Source organism: Homo sapiens, chromosome 5 (genome assembly GCF_000001405.40).
Source record: "Homo sapiens chromosome 5, GRCh38.p14 Primary Assembly".
Taxonomy (NCBI): Eukaryota; Metazoa; Chordata; class Mammalia; order Primates; family Hominidae; genus Homo; species Homo sapiens.
The window spans coordinates 157,958,891-157,975,678 of NC_000005.10; the positions used below are offsets into that span (position 1 = coordinate 157,958,891).

The window sequence follows — 16,788 nt, forward strand, 5'->3', positions numbered from 1 at the left end:
CGAGACCAGCCTGGCCAACATAGTGAAACCCTATGTCTACTAAAAATACAAAAATTAGCTGGGTGTGGTGGTGCACGCCTATAGTCCCAGCTACTTGGGAGGCTGAGGCAAGAGAATCTCTTGAACCCCAGAGGTGGTGGTTGCAGTGAGCTGAGATTTTGCCACTGCACTCCAGCCTGGGTGACAGAGCAAGACCCTGTCTCAAAAAAAAAAAAAAAAAAAAAAAAAAAAAAGAAAGAAAGAAAGAAAAAGGAAAAAAGAGAAAAGGAAGAAAAGGAGATGAGACAAGGGGTGCAGAGTGATAGGGAGAGTTGTAAACCAAGGCCAGCCTCTAGAAGCTGGAAAAGACAAGGAATGGATTCTCCCCTAGAGCCTCCAGAAGACTGCAGGTCTCCTGGCCCTTTGCTTTTAGTCCTATCAGACTCATTTGGGACTTTTGGTCTCCAGAACTACAAGAGAATACATTTATGGTGTTTTAAGCCATTAAGCTTCTGGCAATTTGTTACAGCAGCAATAGGAAACTCATACACTTGCCTTTTTGCTTCAGCAGTTTTAAGTTGCAGACCTTTTATATTGTGAGTTTCCAGTGGTTGGTTCAGCAAACAGGAAATGGGAAGTTTTTCCAGATGACAGAATTGTGTTTGCTCCAGAAGCTCTGCCTGTTTTATGTCATTGGGCCTGTGCCTGGACTTTCAATGGATTGTAGGATGTATTTAATTCATCTGTTTTCTCACCTCCTGGCACCATGCTGGGTGCACTAAATGTCTAGCACTTAATCTAGGAGATGTACACTTGGCTCAGGCCCTTTTTGCAAACAAGGCAACTTTCATGGGAAGTGGCTTTTCTATTACTTAGCAAATTTAAATATGTGTAACTACTTTCTCCCTAGTAAAAATGGTTGCTACAAAGTGCTGGTGCTGTATTCACATGTGCCATGTATACATCAATTTTTCTTAGATCCAGAAAAATGGTACAAATGTTGTATGCAGGAATCTTTCTTAGATTAGGAAGAAAATCTGACAATTCTAAACTCTCAATATTTACCTATTCTTGTGCTTGTCTGAAACAGTAATTCTTATCATTTTTGTTGGAAAATTTCCTCTAAAGAATAGAGAATGCTGTTTCCTAATGTTTTGGACTTAATTTTGTGGCCTCTGTCTCTTATCTGCTGGGGAGAGAGAGGTCAAGACTGAGTGGGTAAAGGAGGAAATAGCTACCAGTCTTTGGAACAAAAATCTTGAGCATGAGAAAGGGAGATCCATATTCTCTGCCTTCTTGACCTAAGGCCAGAGAAAAACAGTTTCTTCCATTCATCTGATGTTTAGAGATCCTCATAAAAGTGAATCTCTTGGCCAGGCACAGTGGTTCATGCCTACAATCCCAGCACTTTGGGAGACTGAGGTGGGCGGATCACTTGAGCCCAGGAGTTTGAGATCAGCTTGGCCAACATGGTGAACAACCCCTCCCATCCCCCACTATCTCTGCTAAAAATGCAAAAATTAGCCAGGTGTAGTGGTGCATGCCTGTAATCTCAGCTACTCGGGAGGCAAAGGTTGCAGCAAGCTGAGATTGTGCCACTGCCCTCTAGCCTGGGCAACAGAGTAAGACTCTGTCTCAAAAGAAAAAAAACGTGAGTCTCTCTCTCTTTTTTTTTTTTATTGAGACAGTCTCACACTGCCACCAAGGCTAGAGTGCAGTGGCGCGATCTCGGCTCACTGCAAGCTCCACCTCCTGGGTTCATGTCATTCTCCTGCCTCAGCCTCTCGAGTAGCTGGGATTACAGGCGCCTGCCACCACACCCGGCTAATTTTTTGTATTTTTAGTAGAGACAGGGTTTCACCGTGTTAGCCAGGATGGTCTCGATCTCCTGACCTTGTGATCCGCCCGCCTTGGCCTCCCAAAGTGCTGGGATTACAGGCATGAGCCACCGTGCCCAGCCTGAATCTCTCTTTTTAAAAGGTGCTAGCTGAACATGTTGATTTCATGCTATTTTTGAAATCTAAGGAATAGAAAGTTGAACCTTTTGAAATGGCTTACATGGCCCTTCGGGAACTGGCTGGCTCTTTTCCCTACCTGTCCAGCCTTATCTCTCATTATTCTGCCTCTTAGTCTTCCAGCCATACTGAATTTTTTCTGTTTCTGTAAAATTCTGAGTATCTCAAGCATCTTAGCCCATACCTGACTCAGCCTGAACCATACTTTCTTTTCTCCTTTGTCCCCCTCAGCTTTACCTTCTGACTCCTACACGAACTTCAGCTTAGAGGTCACATCCTTGGGCTAGTTCTCTGTGATACAGCACACTGAACTGTCCCCCTGCAACTCAGCTCTTACAAACTCTATCCCTGGTGCCCTCTTGCTGTCTTTCTCCGCTGCTAGACTCTAAGCGCCAGGAGAGCATTGCACAGAGGCCCGTGTCTTTTTTGTTCATTGCTTTCCCCATCATGGCTGGCACTTCCTTCTAACAGACTGGCACTTTGCCCATAGGCCAAATTTACCTCAGTCAGCCTTTTATACACCACCATTTGTTTTAATTGCACAGTTGTACATGACTGAGCAAACGGCGGACGGGTACCTGTAATCAAACAGTCCGGAGATTTTAAGCACTTTCGTTCATTCTTGGAGCAGTTACTGAGCTTTGGCAATGGGTAATTTAAATTCTGGACAATGAATTTTCAAGCCGCTTCAATGGCTACATTTTGAGAACAGCAGAAAAAACCTGACCCTTTGATAATTAGACTGAATCAGTTTTCATAATTCTACTTTATGTACTAGAATGGTTAGCAAACTTCATTACCAGCAGCCTGATAAGAAAGCTTTTAGCTTCTAATATAGATCTTGTGAGTAATTTCAATTTGCAACCCAACTAAAGCCACTTTGCATGGCAGTGTTTCTTAGACAAGATGATCTTATAGTTTCATCATTATAAATAATTTCAAAGTAGGCGCAGGAAAAAGCATACAATTAGCATCTTGTCTATGTATGTTTGATCCAGAGAAAGGACAGCTGACTGTTGGAGTTGAAAGCAGCCACCATAAACCCCTACAACCTAGCAGCTTGCATTTGCTGAAATTGTAAATTGATATCTTTTCTTTTGCTCTGTATATCTGGAACATTGCCAGAACCCAAACAATGCTTAGCAATTAAGGAAAACTTATCTTTAAGAAATTTCCAGAACAGACATGTGACTTATTATCTGACAAGGGCTCAAAGCATCCTGGGCTTCTCCCTTTTCTAACACTCATAAATTACTTGTCAATGTCTCTTTAACCCACGGTTAAAGCCCGGAAGCTCCATCAGGACGGAGATCATGTCTGTCTTTGCCACTGAATCCCCAGCACACAAAGGAGGCACTTCATAAATATTTGTTGGATGGATAGCTGAATGACACGGATGAATGAAATTCCAAAGTGATATATTGGTATATATGCATTTTTATCTTTGGCAGCTCAACCTAACTCTGTTCTGAGTTAAAACTCTATTGCTTATTTGGAAAATTGCTTTGCATCGGCTTCAGTTACTATGGATACATAATAAACCACCCCAAAACTTATGGCCTAAGACTCAACAACATTTTTTTTTTCCCTCACAGATATGCAGTTTGAACTGGGTTTGGTGGAGAAAGCTCATTTCTGCTCTTCTTTGTGTTGGCCGGGGTAGGTAGGAGGCTGGAGAGTAGAAATATTTGGATGCTGCTCCTAGCCTAGGCTCGGAGCCTTGAATGGCCAGGGACTGGATCAAGCAGGGATCCTCAGACATCTTTCTCGAGCTTTATGTGATGTCGCTAAGTAATCTCTCCTGAATGGTGGCTTCAGGGTAATCAAACTGCTTACGTGATGGCTCAGGGCTCCAGAGGTGTGTGTACTAAGGACAGAGAAAAAGCCACATGGAATTTGCATTTCATTTTCTTTTTCTTTTTGAGACAGAGTCTTGCTTTGCCGCCCAGGCTGAAGTGCAGTGGCGCAATCTTGGCTCACTGCAACCTCCACCTCCCAGGTTCAAGCAGTTCTCCCTGCCTCAGCCTCCTGAGTAGCCAGCATTACAGGTTCCTGCCACTATGCCTGGCTAATTTTTGCATCTTTAGTAGAGATGGAGTTTCGCCATGTTGGCCAGGCTGGTCTCAAACTCCTGAACTCAAATGATCCGCCCACCTCGGCCTCCCAAAGTGCTGGGATTACCAGCGTGAGCCACCGTGCCCGGCCCTTTTTTTTTTTTTTTTTTTTTTTGAGACAAGGTCTCACTCTATTGCCCAAGCTGAGTACAGTGGCACGATCACAGCACACTGCAGCCTCGACTGCCTGGGATCAAGCAATCCTTTCACCTCAGCCTCAGAAGTAGCTGGGACTATAGGTGCACCATCATGCCCAGCACATTTTTTGTAGAGATGGGGTTTCACTATGTTGCTTAGGCTGGTCTTGAACTCTTGGACTCAAGCAATCCCCTTGCCTCAACCTCCCAAAGTGCTGGGATTACAAGCATGAGCCACCATGCCTGGCCTGTATTACTTTTGGTGATAAGCCTCATAAGTTGCACAACATCCTTCCATTGCCTTCTATCTCTTTGAAGAAGTCATTGTGGCCAGCCCATAATCAAGGGGAGGTTGAATTGGACTCCACCTTTTGTGGGAGCAATGTCAATGAATTTGCAAATATGTTTTAGAACCTTCACTCACCCGATCACTGTTCTGGAAATTTGAAATAACCTGTGATCAAAATCAATAAAGTTGCGACTTGAATCCTTATTCTGAATGAGACAGGAACTACTGCAGAGAAGAAAACCTATTAGGTTGGTGCAAAAGTAATTGCAGTTTTTGCCATTACTTTTAAAGGCACAAAACCCAATTACTTTTGCATCAACCTATAGAATATCATTGTCACTTCTTACATACAGGGATGAAGATGAGGGTTTGAGAGAGGATCCTTCTCACAGCAACATAAAGCAAAGAATTACAAGTCCTCAAAAGGGTGGAATTTTGAGCTGCATTTCTGTTCTTTGAATGGGTGCAAGTGGGAATCTTGCGAAAGGGAAGAGACGTAACAGATGATGTCAATATGGACATGAGTCAATACACGATTTGCTTGTATTTCAAGCTTGTGCCCTCATTGCTTCTTCACTCTGTTCTGGCTTGTCCCCTCTGAGGCCAGGTTGGTTAGAAACTTGCCACTGATTCTCCAGTTGCTGTTTTTAGACCTTACTTCCCTAGCTCCTCCCACAATTGTGTAAAGTATCATTTCTATCATAAATTTAATAAACGTTTTATTCCATAATACTGGTAGTGCTTTTGTTATCTGATTGAATTCTGACTAAGAAGAAAACAGCCGGCCAAGTGCAGTGGCTCACGCCTGTAATCCCAGCCCTTTGGGAGGCTGAGGCGGGTGGATCACCTGTGGTCAGGAGTTCAAGACCAGCCTGGGCCACATGGTGAAACCCTGTCTCTACTAAAAATACAAAAATTAGCAGGGTGGGGTGGCGGGTGCCTGTAATCCCAGCTACTTGGGAGGCTGAGGAAAGAGAATTGCTTGAGCCCGGGAGGTGGAGGTTGCAGTGAGCTGAGATCACGCCACTGCACTCCAGCCTGGGGGACAGAGCGAGACTCTGTCTAAAAAAAAAAAAAAAAAAAAAAAGAAAAGAAAAGAAAACAACATCATATTACTTTATAAAAAATTCTTTTTTTGGCATAATGTAGCTTGAATGGTTGTTTGCTATCTGCAATATGAAGCCTCAACTAGGATGGCAGCTATAAGCCATGGGATGATTTAAAACCTAATGGTGCTTCCAGAACACTTTGCAGAGACCACTATTAAAATAACATTCAGCTGGGTGCGGTGGCTCACGCCTGTAATCCCAGCACTTTGGGAGGCCAAGACAGGCAGATCGCCTGAGGTCAGGAGTTCAAGACCAGCCTGGCCAACATGGTGAAACCCTGTCTCTACTAAAAATACAAAAAAATTAGCTGGATGTGGTGGCAGGCTCCTGTAATCCCACCTACTCGGGAGGCTGAGGCAGGAGAATGGCGTGAACCTGGGAGGCGGAGCTTGCAATGAGCCAAGATCGTACCACTGCACTCAGTCTGGGCGACAGCAAGACTCTGTCTCAAAATATATATATATATATATATTTCAGGGCAAAACACTTCAGTTTCTTTCAGGGCCTGCTCTCTGTCATGTGATGCTATACTAGAGTCAGGTTGGAATTGGTGGTATCTTATTACTACAAAGAGTCTGTTCTGTCTCAAAATCTCTGTTTTAATGTTAATGCTGGTCAGTGTTCCCTGAATTCCAAAGGGAGGAGAGCATAGTGAGGCATATTCCATCCTCCACTTCCATCATGGCCCAAACTGGATTTTCAGGTTTACTTTGGAATACTCTTGGCAAAGGGTGGAGCATCCGTCAGTCAGTTGTGGGGCTTAGAATTTTATTTTTGGTTTATACCTGATTGAATGAGTGAGGCTATATTCCAATGTAACTTTATTTACAAACACAGGCTATGGGCAGAATTGGGCCTGTGGGTCTTGGTTTGCTGACCAGTGCTCAGAGGCTAGCAGGCATTCTGTAAACGTGGACCTGAGGGAGGAAAAATGCTGTGCAATGGAAACAATGACTTTCTGGAAGAGCAGAGAGGGTAAATAAGACAAGCAAGTGTGTGAAAGAAATAAGAGCTGACCTGCTTAAAGTCTAATATTATGCAATAGGAAAGATGTCAGAGAAAAAAACAGGAGGAAAGAGGAGAAAATGTTAATATCTAAGAAACTGAGATTTAAGTAAAATTATTTGTGATTTTTTTTTCTTTTCTGTGGTGGGAAATGGAAATGTGTGCTGCAAAAGGTATGATTTGTTTTATGATGGAGGGGTGCAAGCAATATCATGTTTTTACATTATTTTAAAAATAGTAAATCTGGCTCAGGCTTCACTTGCCAAGGTTGACAAGGTAGATGCAGTCATTTGTGTGTTTCCATGGGCCAGGGAGGCAGGGGTTCCCTCTCATTTCCTAGTTTGGTTTGAGATCTCATGGTATTGTAGGAGTTATTAAGACATTATTTTAGGCAGATAGAGAGAAAAAGGGGTCCTTGGGAAGTTTTCGTGTTTTAAAGCATCTCTGGAAATTTTCTTGTAAAGCCCTGGCTCTTCGAGCCAGGCAGGCAACCTTTGATTTGCAAATGCAGGCCATTAGAAACTGGGTCCACCCAAACATGGCGATTTCCCCCCTCTTCTTGTCCTTGCCCCACATGTAGCTGGCAACATGACCGCCCCCACATATCCCCACGTGTGTAGAACATCATGGCACCCTTCATTTGCGTATTAAAAGGCTAGGGTGGAAGGGCCAGCTTTTTCGCGGGCGACGTGAATGACCTGCCTACTCAAACCAATCCCCTGAGACCTATGCAAATTAAACACTGCCTCCTCTAGCCTCTGTATATTTGTGGCAGGTGGGGTTCCCTCTCTTGGCTTTGGAATCCCACTCCCTCTGTCTCTGTACAGGGGAGCTTTTTCCTTCTCCCTTCCTTCTTGCCCCTTCTTGCCCATTAAACTCTCCGCTCCTTAAAACCACTCCACGTGTGTCCATGTTGTTTTATCTAACTCAAGACAAGACAAGAGCCCTGGTGTTCCTCCACTCACGGGAGGCTTATCAATGGCTTACGCAGTCTAGAAAAATGGCAAAGGTTTCTGGCACTCAAGGCGAGATGGTCACTATGGTGTCCAGCTCTGCTATGGGATTGTTGCTAAGGCTTCTGAAGCCACAGCACTTGGGACTCAGGCCTCAGTCACTTCTCCTGGGTGAGGAGGCACCAACTCTCAACCCGAAGCCGGAGGAATCTTACCTCAGGTTGCCCTCAAAGCACCAAAGCATCACCCAGCCAGTCCTCACCACTCTGGAACAACATAGCTACTTGCAAAGTAGTTGTTCCTAGACTGTTTTGCCCAAATCCCTCTGAGCAGCCAGCTGAATATGACCCTATTTAGAAAGGACGTATCTCCACTAAAGGCCTGACCCCTGGGCAAGTCCTTCAGGATGCCAAGTCTGATCTGGGGATATAATCAGGGTGTTCTCCTGGCCCCACTGCTGTCAGCTTTCTTTTTTGACCCTGGAACAAATGCCCCTCAGTGAGAGACAGGCCTAGCTGAATTTCCTAGGCTAAGAATCCCTAAGTCTAGCTGGGAAGGTGACCGCTTCCACCTTTAAACATGGGGCTTGCAACTTAGCTCACACTTGACCAATCAGATAGTAAGGAGAGCTCACTAAAATGCTAATTAGGCAACAACGGGAGGTAAAGAAATAGCCAATCATCTGTTGCCTGAGAGCACAGCGGAAGGGACAATGATCAGGATATAAACCCAGGCATTTGAGCCGGCAACGACAACCCCCTTTGGGTCCCCTCCCTTTGTATGGGAGCTCTGTTTTCACTCTTATTTCACACTATTAAATCTTGCAACTGCACTCTTCTGGTCCGTGTTTTTTATGGCTTGAGCTGAGCTTTCGCTCGCCATCCACAACTGCTTTTTCCACCGTCATAGACCCGCCGCTGACTTCCATCCCTCCGGAACCGGCAGGGTGCCTTCTGTGCTCCTGATCCAGCCAGGCGCCCATTGCTGCTCCCGATTGGGCTAACGGCTTGCCATTGTTCCTGCATGGCTAAGTGCCTGGGTTCATCCTAATCGAGCTGAACAGTAGTCACTGGGTTCCACGGTTCTCTTCTGTGACCCACGGCTTCTAATAGAGCTATAACACTCACCGCATGGCCCAAGATTCCATTCCTTGGAATCCGTGAGGCCAAGAACCCCAGGTCAGAGAACACAAGGCTTGCCACCATCTTGGAAGTGGCCCGCCGCCATTTTGGAAGTGGCCCGCCACCATCTTGGGAACTCTGGGAGCAAGGACCCCCGGTAACATCAGGATGGGGCAAATACTATTGATTCCTTCCTGATAGACAAGAAGAAATAGGCACAAAAATATCAGTAGATTTTCCTGCTACCGTAAATTCTCAATAAATCTTCATGCTACATATGTAAAATACCTTTTGCTATTAAAAGAAACTGATTAGAGGCCTGCGAGTGGTGGCTCACGCCTGTAATCCCAGCACTTTGGGAGGCTGAAGTGGGTGGATCACTTGAGACCAGGATTCTGAGACCAGCCTGGCCAACACCGTGAACCCTGTCTCTACTAAAAATACAAAAATTATCCAGGTGTGGTGGTGCATGTCTGTAATCCCAGCTACTTGGGAGGCTAAGGCATGAGGATCGCTTGAACCTGGGAGGCAGAGGTTACAGTGAGCTGAGATCATGCCACTGCACTCCAGCCTGGGTGACAGAGCGAGACTTTGTCTCCAAAAAGAAACAAACAAACAAAAACCCTCATGAGAATCAAGTGAGATTGTGTATGGGAAAGTTTGCTTTCTTTTTCTTCCTTACTGTCTGTAAAGCATGGATGTCAAAAATACTCAATTTTCTTGATGGAGACTGTTCATAGAAAAATGAGCAGAGAGCAAATGGGTTTTCTTTTCATTTGTTTCAGGATAGGAGGAGTTAAACAGGAAATATTGCTCTCCTGCAGATCTGTGAATTTGCTGACTTTTTTTTTCTTTTGAACTTCTAAATATGGTTAGTTTCTTGAGTCCCTGAAAATGGGCCAGCAGTTTGTTTGTTTGTTTATTTATTTATTTATTTATTTTTTGAGACGGAGTCTCGCTCTGTCTCCCAGGCTGGAGTGCAGTGGCATGATCTGGGCTCACTGCAACCTCCACCTCCCAGGTTCAAGCAATTATCCTGCCTCAGCCTCCTGCATAGTTGGGATTACAAGCGCACACCACCACACCTGGCTAATTTTTGTATTTTTAATAGAGATGGGTGTCAGGCCTCCGAGCCCAAGCTAGCCATCATATCCCCTGTGACCTGCACGTATACATCCATATGGCCTGAAGTAACTGAAGAGTCACAAAAGAAGTGAAAATGGCCGATTCCTGCCTTAACTGATGACGTTACCTTGTGAAATTCCTTCTCCTGGCTCAGAAGCTCCCCCACTGAGCACCTTGTGACCCCTGCCCCTGCCCGCCAGAGAACAACCCCCTTTGACTGTAATTTTCCACTACCTACCCAAATCCTATAAAATGGCCCCACCCCATCTCCCTTCACTGACTCTGTTTTCGGACTCAGCCTGCCTGCACCCAGGTGAAATAAACAGCCTTGTTGCTCACACAAAGCCTGTTTGGTGTTCTCTTCACACGGACGCACGTGACAATGGGGTTTCACCATGTTGGCTACGCTGGTCTCTAACTCCTGACCTTGTGATCTGCCTACCTCGTCCTCCCAAAGTGCTGGGATTACAGTGGGGTGAGCCACTGCGCCCGGACTGGGCCAGGTGTTTGTAAAGAAATCAAGATAATGTTTCTAAGTTCTGATGATCTCCTCCAAAATGGGGGCAGAGAAGATTCAGGAGCTAGGCTGAAGTGGTGGCTCGTGCCTGTAATCCCAACAATTTGGGAGGCTGAGGTGAAAGGATCACTTGAGCCCAGAAGTTTGAGACCAGCCTGGGCAACATGATATGACCTGGCCTCTATTAAAAATGAAAAATTAGCAAGGTGTGATGGTTGCACCTGTGATCCCAGCTACTCGGGAGGCTGAGGCAGGAGGACTGCTTGAGCTCAAGAGGTTGAAGCTACAGTGAGTTGTGATTGTACCACTGCACCCTAGCCCAGGTAACAGAGGGAGATCCTGTCTCAAAAAAATAAAAACAAACAAAACAAAAAGCAATTCCAGGAGCTGCCAAGTTGACACCATAGTTGTGTGATTCCTTGACCTGTCTCTTCCTTAAAATACTGTTCATAAGGTATAGCCTAGAAGAGCCTGGAAGGTAGGGCCTAACAGAGTGGAGATTACATGACTGGACCAGACCCCCGCTACAATCTGCATGTTCTGCAAAGGTGGGGATGCAAAATAGGATTGTGTTTAAGAGCATAGGTGAAAGGGGAAGTTTCCTTCTAGGTCTTCCCTTTATTAACTGTGTGAACTCTGTGCCAGAGACTCACTGTCCATAAGCTTCAGGTTCCTGTCCCTAAAATGGAGGTAATGGGAGCATCCTACCTCCTGTGATTGAGTGTAGTGTGGAGCAGTGGTGAAGCATGGATGTGGAGCTGAACTGACTGATTCCCACGCACTGCTGGCTGTTTTTTTTTGAGACAGAGTCTCACTCTGTCACTCATGCTGGAGTGCAATGGCGCGATCTCGGCTCACTGCAACTTCCACCTCCTGGGTTCAAGCAATTCTTCTGCCTCAGCCTCCTGAGTAGCTGGGACTACAGGTGTGCGCCACCACGCCCAGCTAATTTTTGTATTTTTAGTAGAGACGGGTTTTACCATATTGGCCAGGCTGGTCTCGAACTCCTGACCATGTGATCTGCCTGCCTGGGCCTCCCAAAGTGCTGGGATTACAGGCGTGAGCCACTGCACCAGCCCTACTGCTGGCTTGATTGCCTATGAGTTCTGTGTGAGCTTGATCAAGTTTTTTACCTCTGTAGGCCCCAGTTTCCCCATACGGAGAATGGAGGTAACAACAAGACCTAGCTCTTAGTGTTGCTATTTTTTTTTTTTTTTTTTTCTTGAGGTGGAATCTCACTCTGTCACCCAGGCTGGAATGCAATGGTGCAATCTTGGTTCTCTGCAACCTCCACTTCCCGGGTTCAAGTGATTCTCCTGCCTCAGCTTCCCCAGTAGCTGGGATTACAGGTGTCTGCCACCATACCTAGCTAATTTTTTTTTCTTATTTTTAGTAGAGACGGGGTTTCACCATATTGGCCAGGTTGGTCTCGAACTCCTGACCTCAAAGGATCCGTCTGCCTCGGCCTCCCAAAGTGCTGGGATTATAGGCGTGAGCCACCGTGCCCAGCCAATAATTTAATAAATTAATAGAGGTAAATGAGGACAGTGCCAGGGACCTAGTAGAGCTCAGTAAATGTTAGTTCTTCCTGCTGTTATTAGAAGCAGAACAGAAATTGGAGGAACCAATGTCAAAAGGCCTTAGTAGGCCTCTAGTGATACCCAGCATCCTGGTGAATAGAAAGGAAATGCAAGGTACAAGACAATCTTACAAGGCATGACTTCTTTGCCTGGAAAAGTCCCTTGAACAGACATCTATACTCCACTTACAGATGGGTGCTGGGAATCTAATCATTAGAGAACAAATTCATCAGTTTAAGACAATATGTCGGCCAGGCACGGTGGCTTATGCCTGTAATCCCAGCACTTTGGGAGGCCGAGGTGGGCGGATCACGAGGTCAGGAGATCGAGACCATCCTGGCTAACACGGTGAAACCCCATCTCTACTAAAAATACGAAAAATTAGCCGGGCGTGGTGGCGGGCGCCTGTAGTCCTAGCTACCCGGGAGACTGAGGCAGGAGAATGGCGTGAACCCGGGAGGCAGAGCTTGCAGTGAGCCGAGATCGCGCCACTGCACTCCAGCCTGGGCGACAGGGAGAGACTCCGTCTCAAAAACAACAACAAAAACAACAACAACAACAACAACAAAAAAGACAATATGTTTTGGTTATCTATTGCTACCTGAAAACTACCCCCCACATTTAGTGACTTAAAATAACAACCCTTTGTTTTTCACAGTTCTTTGGATTGACTGGGCAGTTCTGCTTCACATGGTGTGGGTGGGGACTGCAGTCACCTGGGGGGCTCAATTGGATGGGACATTCAAGAGGGCTCACTTACAAGGCAGACAGTCTGCGCTGGCTGTTGGCTGGGAGCTCAGCTGGAGCTGCCAAACAGGCACTTCTGTTCTCCTCTCCATACCCGATCCATGTGGCTTTGGTTGCTCACAGCATGTGTCTGGATTCCAAGAGGTAGCTAGCTGCCAGTTCTCTTAAAAGCTGGTCTCAAAAGTCCCAGAATGTCACTTTGGCTGCATTCTATTGTTCAGCAAGCCACGGGGCCAGCTCAAATGTAAAGAAAGGAAAAATAAGCTCCATCTCTTGATGTGAGGAGCAGTATGTAAGGACAGGAAGGGGCCTCTTTGGAGACTAGCTACCTGTATTATTTATCTATTGCTGTGTAATAAATTACCCCCAAATGTAGCCAGTTAAAACAATAAAACAATGAACATTTATGATCTCACATGGTTTCTGAGGGTCAGGAATCTGGGAATGGTTAGCCGAGTGGTTCTGATTTCAGAGTCTCTTAGGATGCTGCAGTCAAGCTGTCAGCCAGTGCTGCAGTTTCTGAAGGAGCTGGAGTATTCGCTTCTAATCTCACTCATGAGGCTGTTGGCAGGAGCTTCAGCTGCTTGCCACATGTTTTTTCTCCATAGGGCTGTTCATGACATGGCTTTCCCCAGTGGGAATGGTTACCTAAGAAAAGAGAAAGAGAGGGAGAAAGACAAAGAGAGAGAGACAAAGAGAGGGAGAAAGAGAGACAAAGCTCTTAAGATGAAAGCCAAAATATTTTTATAACCTAATCTTGGAAGTGATGTATTATCACTTCTGCTATATGCTATTGGTAATACAAATCAAACCAAGTATAATGTGGGAGGAATCAGATCAAACCAAGTATAACGTGGGAGGGAGCTGCAAAAGCATATAGCTTGGGGATCATTGGAAGTCATTTTAGAGGCCACTTACTACACTGCTACACAGTGGTGCTATGCATAAGAAGCTTCCCAGGCTGGGCTTAGTGGCTCACTCTTGTAACTCCAGCACTTTGGGAGGCCAAGGCGGGAGGATCACTTGAGCTCATGAGTTCACGACCAGCTTGGGCAACGTGGCAAAATCCCCTCCCTACAAAAAATACAAAAATTAGCTGGGTGTTGTGGTTCTAGCTACTTGGGTGGCTGAGGTAGGAGGATTGCTTGAGCCCAGGAGGTCAAGGCTACAGTGAACCCTGAGCATACAACTGCACTCCAGTCGGGGCAACACAGCAAGACCCTGTCTCAAAAAAAAAAAAGTGCAGATTTCTTGGCTGAGATTCCAATGTGGACCATACTTTGGGAAACCTTGGCCATACCGAGGCTTTAGTCTTATTGACAGTCTGATGCCCAAAGCGCTGCTATTGTTTGCTGTGAGCACACATTTACTTCAGTGAGTAGAAATGGGTTTCTCTTCTACCTCCCAGTAGGTTTTGATGCCTACTGAGCATGAAGGCTACAGCCCTCTGGATTGTTTCGAGAAGATGCCACTGACAGTATAGATTTGGGGTTTTGGGTTCTTCACATATTTTTGATTTTTCCTAAACTGCAAATCCAAGTGATTGATTAGGTTACATGTTCTCAAATGTAAGAGTCCATATCAGTGGCTACCTACAGGCAGGTGCACATCATCATATGCACATATATTCAATGATGTCACTGCCATTGGATTTCATGAACATCCCCAGTAAGACACTAAGTTCTTTCTGGTTTGACTCATCACCGTGAGAAATGCCTCTAAAATGTATTTTGATTCATCCCTCCCTTCTCACCCTCCCTCTTTCCTTCCCTCCCTTCCTTCCCTTCTTCCCTTTTTTCCAACAAAATACCTGCATAGGCGTCACCTTTTGGGCTGTCTGCTTAACTCACAATGATTCTCCCTTCTTTTCTGCTCCCCTTCCCAGTGTTCCCAAGAATTGTGTTTGAACCACATATGCCTGGCCACCTGAACATTGCAAATGGGATCACTGTGGACACTCGACTCAGGCTGGGCAATTCCATTTCCTCCCTGGAATTTGGAATTGGGACTGAAGGGGAGACAACAAGAGATTGATCTTTTAGCATCACTGGACTTGCCCCATGTAGGTGCTAAAATTGTGGTGAAACTCAAGTCTCTCCACCACCACCCTGTTCCTTTTGTTGTGTTGTCTATAGTTTAAAGAGTAAAGCAGATGTTAGGAAGAATTGGTTATAGAAGATGGGAGTGTGGCCGGGCGTGGTGGCTCATGCCTGTAATCCTAGCACTTTGGGAGGCCAAGGCTGGTGGATTGCCTGAGCTCAGGAGTTTGAGACCACCCTGGGCAACATGGTGAAACCCCGTCTCTACTAAAATACAAAAAATTAGCCAGATGTGGCAGCGTGCTCCTGTAATCCCAGCTACTCGGGAGGCTGAGGCAGGAGAATTGCTAGAACCTAGGAGATGGAGGTTGCATTGAGCCGAGATGGCGCCACTGCACTCTAGCTTGGGTGACAGAGCGAGACTCTGTCTCTAAAAAGAAAAAAAAAGAAAGAAAGAAGATGGGAGTGTGATTTAGGTTCCAGATGGCTTCCATGTTTTTTACCAGTCTTTCCCTGAAGCTTGGCTTGGATTCCATGAGATTCCCATATAGGCTTATAATAATATGCCTCCCTCCCTGTCTTTGAATTTAAGTTAGCTCGCATAGGTCTCTGTTACTTAACTACTAGTACAATCCATACATACCGCACTGTGGCTGTATCTTTTTTTTTTTTTTCTGTCTGAGACGGAGTTTTGCTCTTGTTGCCCAGGCTGGAGTGCAATGGTGCGATCTCGGCTCACTGCAACCTCTACCTCCCAGGTTCAAGTAATTTTCCTACCTCAGCCTCCCGAGTAGCTGAGATTACAGGTATGAACCACCACACCTGGCTAATTTTTTGTATTTTTAGTAGAGACGGCGTTTCTCCATGGTGGTCAGGCTGGTCTTGAACTTCTGACCTCAGGTGATCCACCCACCTCGGCCTCCCAAAGTGCTGGGATTATGGGTGTGAGCCACCGTGCCCTGCTGCACCATGGTTCTATCTTAACCTGATGAGTTTGGGTGCCAGAAGAGAAGACGCTTGCTGAAGCTGCATGTAGAATAGACGCATGCACATAGGGTGATGAGAGTGCTGAGTAGGGATTTCTACTCCACCTGGGAGTGCTGGCAAAGGTTTTGCAGAGCAGGTGATATTTGAGCTGGGGTTTGAAGGCTTCTAGGAGTTTACTAGAAAAAATAAGCGTATGAGTCTGTTGTGGCTAGGCTGGTGTGTAAAAGCATGAGAGAGCAATCGTAAAAACCAGAGATATAATTCGATGTCAGAAAAGTCCAGGGTTTCTCATTCCATGCTATAAATAATAGGACATATTTTCAAGACAGAAATGAAGATAATCTAAAAGCATAATTTGGAAACGATCGGTCTGGAATACCTCTTCATTACAGATTCATTTGCTATGTACTGTGATAGCGCTGACCCTTGTAAATGCATTTGAAATTCAAATGACTCTCACATATACCTTCCATGAGTTTGGCATATACTTTAGAGGAAGCTATTGGAAACGATCAATAATCTTTCATTCTGGTTGCAATATTTCTGTGGCATGTAAATAGCATTAAAAAAAGACTTCCACCGTCACATTTGATTCAGGCATATGTAAATTAGAAACAAAAACAATTTGAAGTTAATTTAATGGTAGTGGGAGATTCATTATTTACTGTTCTTTTGCTATACACTGTGTAGTAAGGTAGATTTCTATATTGTTATTATTTTCCCTCATATTCTCTTTGTCTTTCACAGTCATGGTTTAATGTTATTCCTGGGATCCTGCTCTCTCATTTTCATTTTTTCTCTCATTTGCTTTTTTTTTCCTTATATAGTTATGATCATATTTGAAATTTAATTCTTTTCTTCATTTGTTTGTTTTTGCATGCTGTAACTAAACATCTCTCATTTTCTTTCACATGGGCATAGTTAGCTGTGAATTATTCATGGATTTGCAACCAGACTACTGGGTCACATGGACCCTCAGTTTTCCACCTTCTTTTTCCATTTGCTGCTCACTGACATATCCATTGGTAATTACCCAAGGAGGAAAAAGAACTGGAATAGTTAAAAGTTGGT

General features: G+C 45.1%; 3 annotated features.

Moving 5' to 3' along the window:
* Window positions 8,166-9,056: an enhancer, noted in NCBI's record as "H3K27ac-H3K4me1 hESC enhancer chr5:157394064-157394954 (GRCh37/hg19 assembly coordinates)". NCBI's record gives its function as "activates a minimal SCP1, AML or CMV promoter by ChIP-STARR-seq in naive H9 embryonic stem cells {active_cell/tissue: H9 hESC(naive)}" and the evidence as "EXISTENCE:reporter gene assay evidence [ECO:0000049][PMID:30033119]".
* Window positions 11,924-12,448: an enhancer, noted in NCBI's record as "H3K4me1 hESC enhancer chr5:157397822-157398346 (GRCh37/hg19 assembly coordinates)". NCBI's record gives its function as "activates a minimal SCP1, AML or CMV promoter by ChIP-STARR-seq in naive H9 embryonic stem cells {active_cell/tissue: H9 hESC(naive)}" and the evidence as "EXISTENCE:reporter gene assay evidence [ECO:0000049][PMID:30033119]".
* Window positions 12,449-12,973: an enhancer, noted in NCBI's record as "H3K4me1 hESC enhancer chr5:157398347-157398871 (GRCh37/hg19 assembly coordinates)". NCBI's record gives its function as "activates a minimal SCP1, AML or CMV promoter by ChIP-STARR-seq in naive H9 embryonic stem cells {active_cell/tissue: H9 hESC(naive)}" and the evidence as "EXISTENCE:reporter gene assay evidence [ECO:0000049][PMID:30033119]".